Source organism: Homo sapiens, chromosome X, assembly GCF_000001405.40.
Source record: "Homo sapiens chromosome X, GRCh38.p14 Primary Assembly".
NCBI classification, from domain to species: Eukaryota; Metazoa; Chordata; class Mammalia; order Primates; family Hominidae; genus Homo; species Homo sapiens.
Genome location: NC_000023.11, coordinates 109,265,626 through 109,284,789, shown reverse-complemented (window position 1 = coordinate 109,284,789; position 19,164 = coordinate 109,265,626). Strand labels below are relative to the sequence as shown.

At 41.0% G+C, this 19,164-nt stretch overlaps 3 annotated features.

The window, feature by feature from the left end:
- Positions 13,190 to 13,409: an enhancer, noted in NCBI's record as "active region_29842". NCBI's record gives its function as "activates an Ori minimal core promoter by ATAC-STARR-seq in GM12878 lymphoblastoid cells {active_cell/tissue: GM12878}" and the evidence as "EXISTENCE:reporter gene assay evidence [ECO:0000049][PMID:35858748]".
- Positions 13,490 to 13,789: an enhancer, noted in NCBI's record as "active region_29841". NCBI's record gives its function as "activates an Ori minimal core promoter by ATAC-STARR-seq in GM12878 lymphoblastoid cells {active_cell/tissue: GM12878}" and the evidence as "EXISTENCE:reporter gene assay evidence [ECO:0000049][PMID:35858748]".
- Positions 13,900 to 13,949: an enhancer, noted in NCBI's record as "active region_29840". NCBI's record gives its function as "activates an Ori minimal core promoter by ATAC-STARR-seq in GM12878 lymphoblastoid cells {active_cell/tissue: GM12878}" and the evidence as "EXISTENCE:reporter gene assay evidence [ECO:0000049][PMID:35858748]".

The window sequence follows — 19,164 nt, the reverse complement described above, 5'->3', positions numbered from 1 at the left end:
GGCTAACAGTCTGAATAATTAAGACTTAAGAATGTGAGCAGCAATGAGATCCCAGGTTGGTGCTGCTAATAACAGGGAACATGGGGGGAATAATTAAGTAATATTTTGAACAGTGATTGCAAACTGGTGGCTGGTTGGTCAGATCCAGCTGGCACACATTTTGGTTGGCCTGTATAGTATTTTTTAAAATATCAAGTTAATTGCCAGTATTTTAAAAGATAATTTTTCACATAAAAAAGTCTGGTTTCAGCTTCTCCCCCTACCAAAATACAATATGGCAACATGGGACCTGCAATCTTGTATGGCAAAATCAGCTGAAGCCAAGTTGCTCCATACATTGGGTATTTGCTTTCCAGTTTCCCAGAGTCTCCAGTACATCCTACACTTGGGCAGCTTCACTCATCAGGCTACCTGACTAGCCCCTATAAACATTGTCGTTTGTGACTGATAGTTTAGATGATTACAGTGAATGGCTCTTTGTTTTCTTTGAAGAAGATGCCACCTTCTTGGGGAGATGGCAGAGAAAGTAGGGAAAGACATTTTTTATAAGGCAACTCAAAGTGCTGAAATGTCTATGTGGCTCATTTGATTGATATTTGAAAGGAGTTGCAACCATTGTGATGTCAGCCATGAGCCTAGCTGAAGGTTGGCATGTTCTTTGATTGTTGAGTCATTTGGGTACTGGAGTGGGGGGTACTGTATTTTTTTCTTGTTTGTTTGTAATTTAGGGTTAAATTGTAACCAGCTTTTAGTTACTAAGTAGAGAAGACAGTGAAGACATCCAGTGTCTTAGATAAGGTAAACCTCAAGGTACCAACAGTAGGGCCTGTCACCCATTGCAAAGAATCTGTTGTAGTTAGAGGTGTTACTGTGTCCTCAAAGGGAGTAAGTAGCCTAGCGGTAATAAAAGTATTAGGAGGAAGGTTGCCAAACTATGTTAGGTGTTGGGAGGTAATGTGGAAAATAAAGCAGTGATCCAGCAGGAAGCTTGTTAATTTTTTTTAAAAAAGTGAATTTACTGAGGAACTTGTATCTAGAACTATTACAACTCAATAATAAAAAGAAAAATAACCCAATTTAAAAATGGGTAAATAATTTGAATAGACATTTCTCCAAAAAAGATACACAAATGGCTAACAAACACATAGAAAGACACTCAACATTGTTAGTCATCAGGGAAATGGTAATCAAAATCAGAATGAGATACAACACACTCAAGGCTATAGGATGGCTATAAGAAAAAAGAGAATATCCAGTGTTGCTGAGGACATGGAGAAATTGGAATTTTCATTCATTGCTGATGGGAATGTATAATGATGTTGCAGCTTGGAGAACAGTCTGCCGGTTCCTCAAAAAATTCAACATACAACTACTCTATGACCCAGCAATTCCATTCCTAGGTATACTTAAGAAAAATGAAAACACATGTCTATATAAAAATGCATACATGAATATTTATAGTAGCATTATTCATACTAGCCAAACAGTGAAAACAATGCCAATGCCCATCAACAGAAAAAAGGATAAACAAAATGTGGTATATCCATACAATATAATATCATTCAGCCATAAGAAGGAATGAAATACTGATACATGCTACAACACGGATGATCCTTGAAAATTTTATTCTAGGTAAAAGAAGCCAGAGAAAAACGTGCCATATGATTTTTTGTATATGAAATGTCCAGAATAGGCAAATCTGTAGAGACAGAAAGTACATTAGTGGTTGCCCAAGGATTAAGGGAAGGGTTTGGAGGGAATTGAACCATTGCGATGTCAGCCATCAGCCTAGCTGAAAGTTGGCATGCTCTTTGATTGTTCAGTCATTTGGGTATTGGAGTGGGGGTTACGGTATTTTTCTCTTATTTGTTTGTAATTTAGGGTTAAATTGTAAACAGCTTTTAGTTACTGGGAATGGGGAGTGACTATTAATAGATATGGGATTTCATTTGGACGTGATTAGAATGTTCTAAATTTAAATAGGTTGATGATTGCACATCTCTGTGAATATATGAAAAGCCACTGAAATCTACATGTTAAATGAGTGAATTGCATAGTATGTAAATTATATCTCCAGAAAGCTATTAAAATAAATTTATAAAAGATATAACTGCCTGCATTGCATTGTTGGCCAAACTTGTAAAAAAGAGAGAAAAATTCAAGAGATTTCTGTTTTTTGTTGGATTTTCCACTCTTTCTTAACTCCCATAAAGGCCCTTAGGTCACTGTCCCATAGAAATTTACCTTAAGTCTTTAAGTTAATGAAGAAGGCTGAAGATAATTCCTCAGCATGAAGATTCTATTGAAATTGTGGGTGTTTGAAAATTTCTCTGGCTTTGGTGTTCCTTTGCATATTTATATATTTACCCCTACTATAGTTCACTCTCCTCAATGTGTCTGGTCTCTTTCTGAGTGTGGTTGAAGAATAATATCATTGAATATGAAAATAAATAAGCAAGCTAATTAACTGACTAACTGAAAAACCCAAAACACCACGTAGAATTCTAAAACTCTAGCATTGGAAAAAACCTTCTAATGGAGGGATATATTCTACACAGATTCAGACAGGTAGTATCTAGAATGAAAGCAATTTCATAATTTCTTTTGATATGTTGTCCAGGCAGTCTCTTTTCACCATCTGGCAGTTTCTTCTATTATGAAACCTAAATACAGTACTGGGAAAACTCAGAGAGTATCTGAAAGAAGAACTCTGGGCCTTTAGGACAAGACTTGATGAATTGAAAAAGGAAGTGGTGTAGAGAAAAGAATGGCTATCTTTTGGGAGTGGGAGGGATTAATCATTACTGTAGACCTTATAAACAGCTCTAAACAGGCAAACAGCATTTCGGCTCTAAGACCACAAATAAATTACCCTTGCTATGATAAAAAGTTGTTCTATTGATGTGGAAAAAGTTACTTTAAAGTGGAAACTCCCAGGCAATTCTTATTTTTATCTAAGACTTCCCTTTCTCAATTTAAGACTCAATGATTTCCTTCTGTGGTTTTATCAATGGGCTAGAGGTCTGATAAGATTGTTTCCTTCCTGCACTTGGAACTCTGCCATCTCACTTGGAAGAAGTAATAGACTTGCCTTTCTAGCCTGGCTCAGAGCTCAGTGGAACAAAAGGCACATGAGATGTGAGAACACAGAATGCAGAGGCAGGCCAATGTAACTAGCCCAGGGTGTGCTGCAGTCGACTTTGACTGGAGTCCTTTATCTCTATGTGAATGTTTATTATCTTGCAAATCACGTTGCTTTGCCCAGTTAGACTGCAAGTTGAAGAAGGAGCATAATTTGAGTCTTAGTATATTTGTGCTTCTATAGTAAAATACTGTAGACTGGGTAATTTATAAAGAACAGAAATTTATTTCTCACACTTTTGGAGGTGGGGAGTCCAAGCTCAATGTGGCAGATTTGGTGCCTATTGAGAGTCTGGGCTCCGCTTCCAAGATGAAACATTGTTGTTAGATTATCTGAAGAGTAGTAATGTGTTGTCATACAGTGGAAAGTATGGATGGGAATAATAGGGGCAAACTCCCCTTGTCAAGCTCTCTTTTAAGGGCATCCACACCCATTCATGAAGGTGGACCCCTCATGACTCAATCAGCTCCTAAAGACCACACCTCTTAATACTGCCACTATGGGGATTAAGTTTCAACATATGAACTTTGGAGGACATTCAAATTATAGCTTTCTGCACCTGGCCCCCAGGTGCAGAATTAGGAAAATTCTTCAGAGAGGACAGAAAATGGAGCAGGCCAATCACCCAGTAGGGCTTGTTATCAGTGTAGTTTACAAGGACACTTAAAAAAGATTGCCCAACGAGAAACAAGCCGCCCCCCATTCATGTCCGCTATGCCGAGGCAGTCACTGGAAGGCACACTGCCCCAGAGGACAAAGTTTCTCTGAGCCAGAAGCCCCCAACCAGATGATCCAACAACAGGACTGAGGGTGCCTGGGGCAAGTGCCGGCTCATGTCATCACCCTCACTGAGCCCCGGGTACGTATAACCATTAAGGGCCAGGAAAATTGACTTCCTTCTGGACACTGGTGTGGCTTTCTCAGTGTTAATCTCCTGTCCTGGACAGCTATCCTCAAGGTCTGTTACCATCCAAGGAATCCTGGGACAGCATGAGGAGGTGGTATTTCTCCTACCTCCTCAGTTGTAATTGGGAGACTTTGCTCTTTTCACATGCCTTTCTTGTTATGCCTGAAAATCCCACACCCTTATTAGGGAGGGATATATTAGCCAAAGCTGGAGCTATTATCTACATGAATATGGGGAACAAGTTACCCATTTGTTGTCCCCTACTTGAGGAGGGAATCAACCCTTAAGTTTGGGCATTGGAAGGAACAAACTCAAGCTCCAGCCTTAAGCCTTCCCACGGGACAAAATTTCTCTTTATACATCACAGAGAGAGCAGGGATAGCTCTTGGAGTCCTTGCTCAGACTCGTGGGACAACCCCACAACCAGTGACATACCTAAGTAAGGAAATTGATGTAGTAGCAAAAGGCTGGCCTCACCACTTACAGGTAGTTGTGGCGGTGGCTGTCTTAGTGTCAGAGGTTATCAAAATACAAGGAAAGGATCTCACTGTCTGGACTACTCATGATGTAAATGGCATACTAGGTGCCAAAGGAAGTTTATGGCTATCAGACAATGGCCTACTTAGATACCAGGCACTACTCCTTGAGGGAGTCAAATATGACATGCATAGCCCTCAACCCTGCCACTTTTCTCCCAGAGGATGGGGAACCAATCAAACATGACTGTCAGCAAATTATAGTCCAGATTTATGCCACCCGAGTTGGTCTCTTAGAAGTCCCCTTAGCTAATCCTGACCTTAACCTATATACTGATGGAAGTTCATTTGTGGAGAACGGGATACAAAGGGCAAGTTATGCCATAGTTAGTGATGTAACCATACTTGAAGGTAAGCCTCTTCCCCCAGGGACCAGTGCCCAGTTAGCAGAACTAGTGGCACTTACCCGAGCCTTAGAACTGGGAAAGGGAAAAAGAATAAATGTGTATACAGATAGCAAGTATGCTTATATAATCCTACATGCCCATGCTGCAATATGGAAGGAAAGGGAGTTCCTAACCTCTGGGGGAACCCCCATTAAATATCACAAGGAAACCATGGAATTATTGCATGTAGTGCAAAAACCCAAGGAGGTTGCAACGCAGCATAAGCGGCTGGCAGAGACAGAAATTTGGAGAGAGAGAGGAAGAGACAGAGACAAAGAAGGAGTCAAAGAGAGAGGAAGAGAGAAAAAGAGACATCAAGTCAAAGAGAAACAGAGAGAGAGAGGAAAAGACAGAGTGACAGAAAGAGAGAGGAAAGACAGAAAGAGACAAAGAAGAACAGAAAGAAAGAGAGATAGAAGTAATTAAAAAAAAAGTGTACCCTATTCCTTTAAAAGCCAGGGTAAATTTAAAACCTATAATTGATTGAAGGTCTTCTCTGTGACTCTATAACACTCCAATACCACCTTGTTGTCAGTGTAAACAAGGGTGTAGCCCAAAAGCACTGAGGCCACTGACAACCCTATCAAAATCCTATCAAAAATCCTTCCTATCAAAAATCCTTAACCTAGCAGGTTTCCTAACAGGGGATTTAATCCTAATTAATTACCATACAAAGGTCTGATGAGACCTAGGAGGAACTCCCTTCAGGACAGGATGATAGATGGTTCCTCCCAGGTGATTAAGGGAAAAAGACACAATGGGTATTCAGTAAGTGATAAGGAAACTCTTGTAGAAGCAGGGTTAGGAAAATTGCCTAATAATTGTTCTGCTCAAAAGTGCCAGTTGTTTGCACTCAGCCAAACATTGAAGTACTTATAGTATTAGGAAGGAGCCATCTATACCAATTCTAAGTTAATACAGACTGAACGAGGTCTTATTAATAGCAAAGAATAATTGAAATCCCAAACTTACAAGGTTTTCAACAAAAGTAAAGTTTGCTAAAAGTTAACATTGTAACATGTCACTCACTCTCAAGGGATTTCTCAGACAGTTTGTAAGAAATAACAAAATCTATCCTTACTCTACAATCCCAAATAGACTCTTTGGCAGCAGTGACTCTCCAGAACCGCCAAGGCCTAGACCTCCTCACTGCTGAGAAAGGAGGACTCTGCACCTTCTTAGGGGAAGAGTGTTGTTTTTACACTAACCAATCAGGGATAGTACAAGATGCTGCCCAGTGTTTACAGGAAAAGGCTTCTGAAATCAGACAACGCCTTTCAAGCTCTTATACCAACCTCTGGAGTAGGGCAACATGGCTTCTTCCTTTTCTAGGTCCTGTGGCAGCCATCTTGCTATTACTTGCCTTTGGGCCCTGTATTTTTAACCTCCTTGTCAAATTTGTTTCCTCTAGTATGGAGGCCATCAAGCTACAGATGGTCTTACAAATGGAACCCCAAATGAGCTCAACTAAAAGCTTCTACCAAGGACCCCCTGGACCAAACCACTGGCCCTTTCACTAGCCTAAAGAGTTCCCCTTTGGAAGACAGTACAACTGCAGGACCCCTTCTTCACCCCTATCCAGCAGGAAGTAGCTAGAGCAGTCATTGCCCAATTCCTAACAGCAGTTGGGATGTCCTGTTTAGAGGGGGGATTGAGAGGTGAAGCCAGCTGAGCTTCTGTGTCGGTTGGGGACTTGGAGAACTTTTGTGTCTAGCTAAATGATTGTAAATGCACCAATCAGCACTCCATAAAATGGACCAATCAGCACTCTGTAAAATGGACCAATCAGCACTCTGTAAAATAGATCAATCAGCAGTCTGTAAAATGGGCCAATCAGCAGGATGTGGGCAAAGCCAAATAAGGGAATAAAAGCTGGCCACTTGAGCCAGCAGCGGCAACCGGCTCGGGTCCCCTTCCATGCTGTGGAAGCTTTGTTCTTTTGCTCTTCACAATAAATCTTGCTGCTGCTTACTCTTTGGGTCCACACTACCTTTATGAGCTGTAACACTCACTGCAAGGGTCTGTGGCTTCATTCCTGAAGTCAGCGAGACCACGAACCCACCGGGAGGAACAAACAACTCCAGACGTGCCACCTATAAGAGCTGCAACTCTCACTGTGAAAGTCTGTGGCTTCACTCCTGAAGTTAGCAAGACCACGAACCCACCGGAAGGAAGAAACTCTGGACACATCTGAACATCTGAAGGAATAAAGTCCAGACACACCATCTTTAAGAGCTGTAACACTCACCATGTGGGTCTGTGGCTTTATTCTTGAAGTCAGAGAGACCAAGAACCCACAGGAAGGAATAAATTCCAGACACGCTATGCTTATCCCAAAGATTAGCCTTCACTGGAAGCAGAATAGGCTGGTCTACTGTCCCAAAATTTATTTTATTTACAGTCATGTTTGTTTTTCTATCATCTGAGGACTATTCCTTTGGGTTAACCTCTATGAAAATGCAACAATGGTAGAGTAAAAAAGTGGTACATTGTATTAGTCAGGGTTCTCTAGAGGAACAGAACTAATAGGTTATATGCATATATGAAAGGGAGTTTATTAAGGATAATTGACTCACAGGATCACAAGGTGAAGTCCCATAATAGGCCGTCTGCAAGTTGAGGAGCAAGGAAGCCAGTAGTGGCTCAATCCGAGTCCCAAAACCTCAAAAGTAGGGAAGCCAACAGTGCAGCCTTTGGTTTGTGGCCAAAGGCCTGAGAGTCCCTGGCAAACCACTGGTGTAAGTCAAAGCATCCAAGGGGCAAAGAACCTGGAGTCTGATGTTCAAGGGCAGGAAGCATCCAGCATGGCAGATAGATGAAGGCTGGAAGACTCAGCTAGTCAGCTTCTTCCACCTTCTTCTGCCTGCTTTTTCTAGCCATGCTGGCAGTTGATTGGATAGTGCCCACCCACACTGCAGGTGGGTCTTCCTCTCTCAGTCCACTGACTCAAATGTTAATCTCTTTTGGCAACACCCAGAAACACCAAGATACACCCAGAAACAATACTTTTGCAACCTTCAATCCAATCAAGATGACACTTAATTTGTTAACCACCACACACATTAAGCTACCAACTATATTTAATACCTTTGGGAGAGTTTATTTGCTGTATAGAAGAAGGAAAAGCAGATCCCTGAGGAACTAGGATAATGGAACATGGTAGAGAAATCTTGGGCAGGAGGCTTGCCAGAGGGAATTAAGATCGTGGAAGATGATGGTGCTAAAAGGACAGGTAGAAAGATGCCAAAGACAATCATCTCTGCTGTAGTAGTACTTGAGCTCAAAGGAGAATCTTTAAAAAGGAACAGTTCTTCCCTCTTAGTTCACCCAATAAAGTTGAGTGACATTTACTACAAAGAACAGCATGGCAGCAAGAGATAAACTTGCAACAAGGCATCTTTGTCATCCACTATACAATAGGTGACAGTTTTTAAGCACAGAGAGATTTGACATGTTTTGCTGTTTGTGGATGTGTGGGTTTGATTACTGTGACATTGGGTATGGGGAAAGACTAGGGTTGAGGGAACAAGAATAAAGATGCACTGAGTGTGAGTGGGGAGTCAGGGTTGGAGGGAATGGCAAGCTCCATGACATATAAGGCCTTTGTTTTGAGCCCTCTGAGAAATGCTTTCCTTGTTTCCTCTCCTCCTTTGGTCTTTCCTTCTTTCCTCTGCCCCATCTTTCCCTCTTTTCTTGTTCCCATTATCCTAGGACTTCCTGCCTTTTACTGACTTATTCTCTGCCTGGGTTTTGAGGATGCCAGTGGTACTCTTTAATCTGGCTTTGCCTCTAGCCCCATCCTAGTCCCAGCTGGTGTTCCTTAGGACCCAAGAGACTGTTGGCAGATATTGTTTTTACAAATCAAGTCACATATGAGGTCCAAAGTCTATGTACACAGTGTTATCAGCTCATCAATTAATGGTAAGCAGCTATATGCTTTGTGTGTGTTTCCAGAGCTGCACAGGGAGCCCTGGTAGCTGATCAGTGGCTTGGGCTCTGGTGCCAGTGGAGTTGGAAGGAACAATTTGTATGGCTCTGAATTATCTGTTAGAATTTCCATGCTTCTCCTTGGTGTCCAGACTATTTTCTGTAATCCCCTCTGGTAGTTTATAAAGACTTCTCCATCATAGGATGCAGCTTTGACAGGAACCCCACGAAAAAGAATGGAAGCACACAAAAAATCTCATTTTACCCAGCAGTCCCTTCCAACTCCTTAGTATTAACCTTTTCCTCCCATTCTCAATAATACTAGATCAAGAGAATGTAAGCACCCAAGACCTGTCTTAGGGAATTCAGACCTCAGGCCCTTATGTGGAATGAACTGAAATAAGAAGTCATACTAGGGCCTCAACATTCTCAATCTACTTTTTTATTGTATATGTATGAGAAGGGTAGGAGTGGCTGTGAGTTGAGGGAGAGAGGAGAGCGAACAGATTTTGTCCCAATTGCATGTGCTAGCTGGTGTGCAGTAATGATGGAGTGGTGTTTTTGCATCAGAAGTCACCTCTTTGTGAATTATAGGTGATTAGGGGAGCCATGTTGTCCTTTGTACCTGAAGGGCCCCTGGAAAAGTGATGTGGAGAGCAGGACTCTCTGTCTCTAGTCTCTTCTTTTCCCTCCTAGAGTTTGGAGTAACAGGCAGAAAACACTTTTCTGTAGATTTTTAAGTCAGACATTTCCCTGACACTCAAATATACTCTGGGTCTTCTAGTCTCTGTTGGCTTCTTTCACAAAAGAATTCTGCTGCTGCTGCTGAAACTCACATCTGGCATGACCAGCAGGAAAGGGCCAATGAGTCTGTCGGACCTTGTGAACAAAGCAGAGTCCTAATGGTTGGAGGAGAGAGAAAGGTGGTAAAAGTCAGCGCATGAAATTAAAGAGTAAGAGACCCTTGTGCAAGTTCTTCAGAAAGTTCCGTGGTTTCCAAATTCTACATGTGCTACTTTAGTTTCCTGTAAGACAGCACATAGAGAAAGTGCTCAAGATATGCTTAATGAATTAAAAGGGAGAAGGAAGTTACAGTCTCTGAGAACCATTGTCTAGTTTCCACTCACCCCATACAGATTTCTTAGAGAGGAGGCTAGAAAAATAGATCTGTATTGATTTTCAGAATTTCCAAACCAACATTGTATCTGGGCTACGGCCTTGATATACGTAGAGAGAAAATTCCATTTCAACAAAAGCAAGCACCATCTGTAATATCCATTAAACCCTAAATGACCAATGGTGTGTTTGAGATCCAGAGAGGTGGAGTGAGTTTTTGAGCTTCTATAGTAGGAAGAGGAAGGTGAGAACATAATTCAAGTATTCTGACTCCTGTTTCTCCATGAGAATAATTTTTATTCTTCTGACAAGAACGATGAGGATGGAAATTCCACTTGTTTGACAGCTTTGGATATTACTAATCTAAAGGTGGTCAGTTCACAGTAAGCAGGAATAAGGAAAAGTAGTATTAACCTTGCTCATCACATGCAAACTTCTCCCCTGTGCCCACCAATGAGGAATTTCATATAGAATTGTAACAATGTTAATTATAATAATACTCTGCATAGGTTTATGATTAAGATCCTGCAGCATCTCATCCCTCATATGTTTCCAAGGCACATTTCTTTTTTAATACAAGTATCTTTTTCACCTTATGAATGTTAAGTACTACAATGGTTTCTTTTGCACATTTCTTTTCTTGAAAATAATGTTTTAAAAGCTTGTATTCATTAATTTATAGAAGCATGCTTTACTTTTAATGACATTGTATCCAAGATGTTGCTAGCCAAGCCTTAACTGTGTTCCTTGTTTCTGTCCCTCCTTCCACTTTTTTTATGTCTTGTAATTATAAATAATGAAATGTTAAACTAGACTGGATTGCATTTAGAACTTTCCCCAAAGGCCCCAGCAAAGGACCTGGGGATGAGCCAGTGTTTCACAAATTTGGTTTGGACATGTACACTAGAGGTTTCCCAAGTCTCCATTCTGCCAAGTTGGCCTAGCAATCTCCCAAGAATCACTTGTCCTGCTGTGTTCTGCCCCATGGACTTCCAGGGGATCTATTCAATTGGGCCCTTGTGTTCTAAGAGGCCCGGGTATTCTGATATCTGAGGCGTAACTAAACAAACCCAGCAGGGGATGGGGAGCTGCCTGGGTTACCACCATAAGAAGAGCTGTTCCCCTCATCCATCTCTCATCACAGTTCCAAGAAAACATTAAGCACCTGGTTGCAGAGGAGAAGACACATTGCCTGGACTCTTATGCCTTCTGTTCTGTAAGAGCCAGGGGCACACTCAACTAACAGACACACTGACACCAACAAATGACTGGAAAATACAAAAATGGACAGCATTAAATGGTGGTGGTGATGGTGGTAGTGTGTGTGTGTTTATGTGTGTGTGTTTTAAAGCTATATAAATTGAGATTTTCTTTCTAGGCCTTCTAGCTTTTTCTAGAAGAATTAGGGCAGGGATGGACGTAACTTCAAATTGACTCTCAGCCAGTACCCTTCTAGGCCCATGTCTTTATGCTTCCTCCTCCCTTATCTCTTTTTTAAAAAGGAAAAGAAAGTCCTGTGGGAAGGCCACGTGCTGCTGTATTTTTACAATTTTATTTAGTAGAGGCAAAGATGTAAGCATTTTACATGTGCTGTCCCTTCTCTCCTGCCACTCTTCTATTTCTTCCTCCTTCTGGTGTCTTTTTCAGCCCCTTTATTCCTAATTTATCTCTGTTTCAACCTATTCTCTATATTTGTTTCCTAACCCCTAAAAACATCTCTTTCTGGAGATGATAGCTGGGTGGTGGGATGCGAGAGGAAGACAGAGGGAGAAAGAAAGAGAGAGAGAGAAATGGGACAAAGATGGGCGGAGACTATGGAAAGGCAGGCATTCCTCTCTGTCCTAGCATGCATCTTCTCTGACTTCCCTTCATCTTCAGAGAAACTAATACTAATAGGTACCATACAATGAATACTTAATATGTGCAAGTGGTTTCAATACATCATCTCATTTAATTTTTGTAATGACTCTGCAAGCTGGTAACATTGCTCCCATTTTACAGATGAGAAAACTACAAAGGTTCAGCAAGGTGAATCAAGTGGAGTTGGACCACTAAGATTTGAATCCTGGCTCTGCTATCTACTAGCTAAATGAGCTTGGGCATGTTGCATTTCTCTGTGTCCCAGTTATCACAATTACTCTACTCTAGAAAGGTACATAGCATGTGTCATCCTTGCTAGAAACTCACATTGTTCATCTGCTAAACTCCTATGCACCAACTTGCTGATAGAAGGGAACCATCCCAGATGCACTTCAGGATACTTCTTCTCTTCCCACGTGGTTTGTGCATATGGACAAAGATGTTTGGAAGACTTGGTTGGTGGGCATTTCAGGCCATTCATTCATTGCACAATTAAACCAAAAAACAACTACTTGTTGTGGATCATGCAAAGCACTGAGAAGACAGTAGTGAACGACAATACATGGCCCTTGTTCTTATGGAATCACACAAATAAATGCAAAATTTTCATTGCAGCAAGTGCTACAATGGATCCAATGGGCAGGAACATAGTAATATAACTGAGGGAAACTTGGAAAACTTCCTTTAAAAAGTGATGATGGAGGTAACTTCTGGAGAAAGAGAGGTAGTTGATTCTTAAGGAGTGAGAAAGAGCTTTCCAGAAAAGGAAATAGCTTGCACCTTGTAGTAGGAGGGAGTGTAGCAGATATAAACTGAAGACAGATGAGTATGTCCAGAGTGCAAGGAATGCGCAGTATGTGGTAGGGTACTGTCAATATGTCAGGCTAGCAGGTACCTCTTTGAGGACTCAGGTATGTGTGGCACTCTTCCATCATACTATATAAGCATGGAGATGGTACACCAAAGATTTTCTAGGGCAGTCATGAATTCAAATTCCATAGTGTTGTTGCCATAAGCACATTCATAGTGTCAGTTTATGTGTTCTAATTTAAAGCTGAGAAAAGAGGGTAGCTGTATGCCTTCTCAGCTCCCCGGGGATGTCTATTTTGTGGAACAAATGGGTGGGCCTCAAGAAGTTTCAAAATAGAGAAGGGGTACTAAGACTCAGTATACCAGGGAAGAGGCAGTTACACTAGGTGGTGGCATTGGCTAGGCATCTTTCTCATTGGTTCCTCATCACTTTCTGACTCCCTTCTTTATTCTCTATTACCCCAAAGCCCCACCCCCTTGAAGACTGGAGTGCTGGTCAGGTGGGCCAGCATCAGGGTAGGATTTCCATTTGTGGCAGCTTAAATTAGTCAAGGTAATGAGTTAGAATTTTAAAGAGCAAGAAGAGCCAGGGGATGATGACAAGTCTGTTCTTAGAAAGCACTAAGGGTCAAAAGCTGAGTGTGGCAAGCCTAAGGGGTGAAAGCAGGGTCACAAACAAACAGGAGACAGTTCCAAGAAGGACTGGAGTCAGGTGTGCAAAGGAACAGAGAAAGAAGTGAAGAGCAAGAGTAGGAGTGAAGTGAGACGGTTCAAGGCAATTACCTCAAATGAGGCCCTGAAAGCTGGGACTCATTTTCTTTGGCTGTCTGCCATGTAGTATGTGGGTGAGTTGGCCCAGTATAATGGCATGGGTCTGGGACTTCCCCGATTTGCTCAGGGAGAAGTTATGACTTGCCTGGGAGCATTCTTGAGGTAGAGGGCTGGTTCTCACCAGTACTTTGCTAATCCACAACCTTTCTCTTACACCAGCTCCTGAAACTGGCCAATGTGGAACTGAAAGTTTCAGCACCTGCTCTTCCCCCAGCCTCTGGTTGGCATGGGGCCATGGGGGAGGATATGAGTAGGCTGGGCTTAACCAAAATACTGGAAGCCACCTACCTCCTGTGTGGGCAGGATTAATAGGAAAGAGAAGACAAAGAGTTTCACAATTTCATGAACTGTAAAGAGGCTCAGCAAAGTCTTCATGTACTTAGTAGGGTGGATGTAAGTTGAGAGGCAAAAGTATTCAGTGATTAAAGGTGTTAATCTTAAAAGCATACAATCTGAATTCAGATCCCAGCTCTGCCACATGATGGCTGTGTGATCTTAGGTGAGTCACTCAACCTTTCTGTGTCTCATTTTTTCTACAGTAGGAAAATGAGGATAATGATATTTGTCACCTAAGATTGTTGGACAGTTTAAGTGAAGGAATGCATGTAAACTGCTTAGCACTGTGTCTGGCATATAGTAAATGTTTAATAAGTAGTAATGGTTATTTTTACTGGAAGAAAGCTGGATAGAATCTCCTATCTGAATGATCTCTCCAAGTGCTTGAAATCTACAGGGGTTGGGATGGTGTTTAGTAATGCAGAAAAATGGCAAGGATGGAAATCATTACTCCAATTGTTGGGTTAAAGGTGCATTCTAGATGTAGGAAACTCCTAAATGGGAACTCAGCATAGATAAACCAGGGAAAGAAGTCATATTGTTGCATAACATGTACTAGCAGAGGTTTAGTCTGATGGCCCTTGGCAGTAGCCCAGGGTTGACCCATTGATAGGTAGGTCTGGGACTTGGCTGGGCAGGGGATAGCTGGAACAGCCAAGAACAGGCAGAACCAGAGGAAGAATGCAAACCTTTGCATGAGAAGCACTGAAGAAACAAATGAGAAGACTTGAGATGATCATGTCTGGGATAGCAGTGTGAGGATGGACACAGGATGCATAGCCAAGTTCAGAAGGCATGTACCTACAGGGACCAGTCCAGAGGGAATGAGGAGCTAGAGCAGCAGCAATTTGAGTAGGTTCACTGTGACTGCCATGAAAGGGTCCCTGAGGGCAGGTATTTGGCTTTATTGGCTGCCAACTCAGTAGTGTGTGGGTGGGGTGGCTTGGGCTGGTTGGTATGGACTGTGGCAGAGAGTAATAACAATATTACTGCCAGGTGGATATAATTTCTGTTTTACAGTGGAGAAAACTTAGAATTAAAGGCATCAAACAATTTGTCTTACATAGCACAATTAATCGTTAGCAAAGATGGGAATATGGGAATAATCCCTAAGAGAACATCTGAGGTAAAATGAACAGTAAAGCAAAGTTTCCTCATGGTGGCAGGGGTGGCATGGGGGCAGAAACCGTAAGTACAAGAGAATGTAGGCAGTTGTTACTCTCCCTGAGACTGTGTATATTAGAATTGCTGCATTATAAAGAATGTAGTATGATTTAGTAGTTAAGGAGTGCTTTCTGGAGCCATATTGCTTAGACTCAAAATCTGGCTCCTCCACTTACCAGTTGTATGACCAACTGTATGAGCAAGTGACTTAATCTCTCAGAGCCACAGCTTTCTCATCTGTAATGTGAACAAATGGTAGTACCTACTTCTTATGATTTTTATGTGATTTAATTAGTAAAGCACTTAGAAAAGTACCTGGCTCATAATGGGCACTATCTAAATTTTACCAATTAATAAAATAATAATAATTAGAGCAATAACAAGGACTAGTTTAGATAATGCATATAAAATACTTACCACAATGCCTGCACATGGTAAATGCTCAACAGAAGAATTATTATTATTACTATAAATACTCTACAGCAATAACAATTAGGTAAGCATTGGTCTCAGGAGGAGTTAACTAGCCTCACAAACCCGTGGTAGACAACCTTTATTCTAGAAATCTGAGAAAGACCCATTCTTCTCCTACAAATACAGCTCCTTCTTTCTATATTTATAAAACTGCCAAATAAATGAACTGTCCTAGGAGGTATAGTGCTCCCATCATAGCAGGCACTAAAGCACAAGCTAGCTAATTGCTAGGCAGGGTTGCTGTATAGGATACTGACAGACAATAATAACAATGATAGCTAACAGTAACATAGGTACTCCTAGTATCCCCATTTTATGGATGAGGAAACTGAGGCAAAGAGCACTCAAGTCCTTTGCCTGAGATCACATAGCCAGTAAGTAGCAAAGGTCCCTTTCAACCCCCTGACATCCTCTTGTGAAACATAGTAGATTCAGTCCCCAAGACTGTAATATGAATAATATTATTGGCTTCCCTTTTCTTCTTGTCAGGATGAAAGGAAGTGATGGTGAGTACTGGATTAGAGCTATAAGATTTAAAAGAGGAAAAATATAAAAGAAGACAGTAGGGCCAGTGGCACTTCAACAGACAAACTTTATCAACTCACATCTTTAGGGAGGTAGCCTCAGTATATTGAACCTAATCTCATGAGATCTGAACTGCCTGAGCTCTCTCTCCCAGGAGTCCTCAGGGGATTTTGAGATTAGAGCTGGCCCAGAATTACCAATTGGAGACACAAGTGCCCACACAAAGTTGTTCTGCCTGTTCCAGGTCTGTAGGGAGCTGACTCACATTTTGCTTACTACAATGGGCTCTATTTCAGTATCAGCTTGATCTCTTGCCAGAGCTGTGTTCAAGGAGGAGAGGTAAGAGAAGAGAGGGGATTCCTGGCCTGTGGGATGGTTCAGAAATGGGAATAAGGAAGTCATATTTTCTCACTCAGGAAACAAAGTGGCTGGAACAAAAAGTTCAGGTCAGACAGTAGCAAAAGCTGAGGGAAGACACTAGCAGGAACTGAAGGAAGTTCAGTAAGGAGGGGTTAGCTAGAGAGGACTTTGACACATAAGTTTGGATCTTCTATTCCTGCACCTATTCTCTGACATCAACTGGGTGTCCTATGATTCAGTTCAATTTGAGCACTAACTACCTTGAGTATCTGAACAGTGGAATGACATCCAAATACTCCAGAAAGATTCTGGCTGACCTATGCACACTGCACTACAGTGATCTGAGACAGCAGTTCAAGGAGATTTGAAGATAGAAAGGTCTCTGAGAGGCTATGCGATAGCCCAATCTAAACGGAACTAGTTGGTAAGGGGATGGAAGCCACAGGAAAAGAACTGGAAAGAATGGATAAGAAAATAAGTGGTTGACACCATGGAAAACTGCTTATTCAGTTACATCTTTATTCAAGATAAGTCCTCTGTCTAGAACCCACTTCTTACATTCCTTCACTTGACTAACACTCATCCTTCTAAACTTACTCCATTTTCTGTGAAAGTTTCCCTGGTCTCCCAGATTGTATGAAAGTGACTTGTTCATGTATCTATTTTGTCTACAATATTTAGAGTTTCTTAAGGGTAATTTCTCTTTCTTTCTTTCTTTCTTCCTTTCTTTCTTCCTTTCTTTCTTCCTTTCTTTCTTTCTTTCTTTCTTTCTTTCTTTCTTTCTTTCTTTCTTTCTTTCTTTCTTTCTTTCTTTTCTTCTCTTCTTTCTTTCTTTCTTTTCACCAAATATTTCTTGAATACTTACTACAGTGCAGGGAAATAAAGAAAGAACTTGGGACAGACATTCCACCTGATTCTGGTGACACTGGGTTTGGAAATTGATTGGATGTCTTATGTGAAGCTATCTTAGTGACTTCCAGAGAAAATAAAATCTTTTGGTGTCACTAGCATAGAGGGTGTGGTAAAATAAAAAATATATTTGGGAATGGAATTTCCCAAGTGATAGGACTGTCTTTGTTACAATAATGAGGTGACTCATAGGGAGTAGAACTGGGTAGCTTCAGGATGATGGTTGGTTGCCAAAAAATCAGCTTTATTATTAGAAAATTGGGACTGAACGAAGGAGATATTCAAGGAGGTTACAGATTGAGTTCAATCATGTGGTCAATGATTTAATGAATCATGTCTACTAATGAAACCTCATATAAAAATCCTGGAACCATGAGGCTTAGAGAACTTCAAGGTTGGTGAATACATCAATGTGCTAAAGAGGAAGACATGCCTAGATTCCATAAGGAAAGGGCATGAAAGCTCTGCACCACTCCCCTCCCCAATGTCTTGCCCTATGTATTTCTTCATTTTGCTATACATCTGTATTATTTATAATAAAATGGTAGTCACAAGTGCAGCACTTTCTAGCAAATTATTTAGCCCAGAAAGAGATCATGGGAACCCATGTACTTGTAGCTGGCCAGGCAGTAGAATGAGTTGTTTGGGGAAAATGATATTTGTGGCTGGTATCTGAAGTGGGGACAGTCTTTTGGGACTGAGCCCTTAACTTGTGAGCATCTACACTAACTCCAGATTGTTGATGTCAGAATTGAAAGACTTTGCCCTTAATCTGTGGAATCTGTACTAGTCACAGGTGGTTATTGCCAGAATTGAATCGAATTTTGGGATACCCAGTAGATGTTAGAGAGTTGGTGCAGGAATACTGAGCAGTTGAAATCATGTGTTATTGAGTAACCTCACAAGAGTATAGCGGTAAAGGGTCCAGAATGGAGCCTTAATTGGCTAGTGATGGTACAGTGATAAAGAGAAATATCCACTATTCATGAAGGACCTTGATGTCACTCTTTAGTGTATTAGTCCTTATCCAAGAGCAGCTTCAGTTGGACTTTATGGTAGGCAAAATAATGGCCTCCTGAGATGCTTTTCATCCTAATCCTCAGAACCTGTGAATATGTTACTTTATATGGAAAAGGAGAATTATGATAATATATGGAATTAAGGTTAACCTTAAAGTGGGGATATTATCATGAAGTATCTAGATGGGTCCAGTGTAATTTCAAGGGTCCTTAAATGTGGAGGAGGGAGGCAGGCAAAATGAGTCAGAATGATGTGTTATAAGAATGACTCAACTGGCCACTGCTGCCATTAAAGATAAGACAAAGGAGTCCATGAGCCAAGAAATGTAGGTGACACTTAGAAGCTAGAAAAGGAACACAGCCCTGATGACACCTTGATGTTAGTTCAGTGAGCCCCATTTCAGAATTCTGATCTCCAGAATTCTAAGTAACAAATTTGTATTATTTTAAGCCACTATGTTCGTTGTATGATCATGCACAATATTAAAGACATTTCAGTCACTGAAGGACTACATAGATGACAGTGCTCTCATAAGATTGTGATGGAGCAAAAAAATTTCTATCACCTAGTGATATTGCAGCAATCATGCTGTTGTAAGCATTGTGAGATCATAGCCATCATAATATCATAGAACAACACATTATTCATATGTTTGTAGTGATGCTAGTGTGAACAAACCTACTGTGTTGCCAGTCATATAAAAGTATAGCACATACAGTTATGCATATTAAATAATACTTCATAATGATAATAAATGACTATGTTGCTAGTTGATGTATTTATTATACTATACCATGTTTTTATTGTTATTTTAGACTGTACTCCTTCTACTATAAAAATGACTGAAGAAATCTCAGGAAG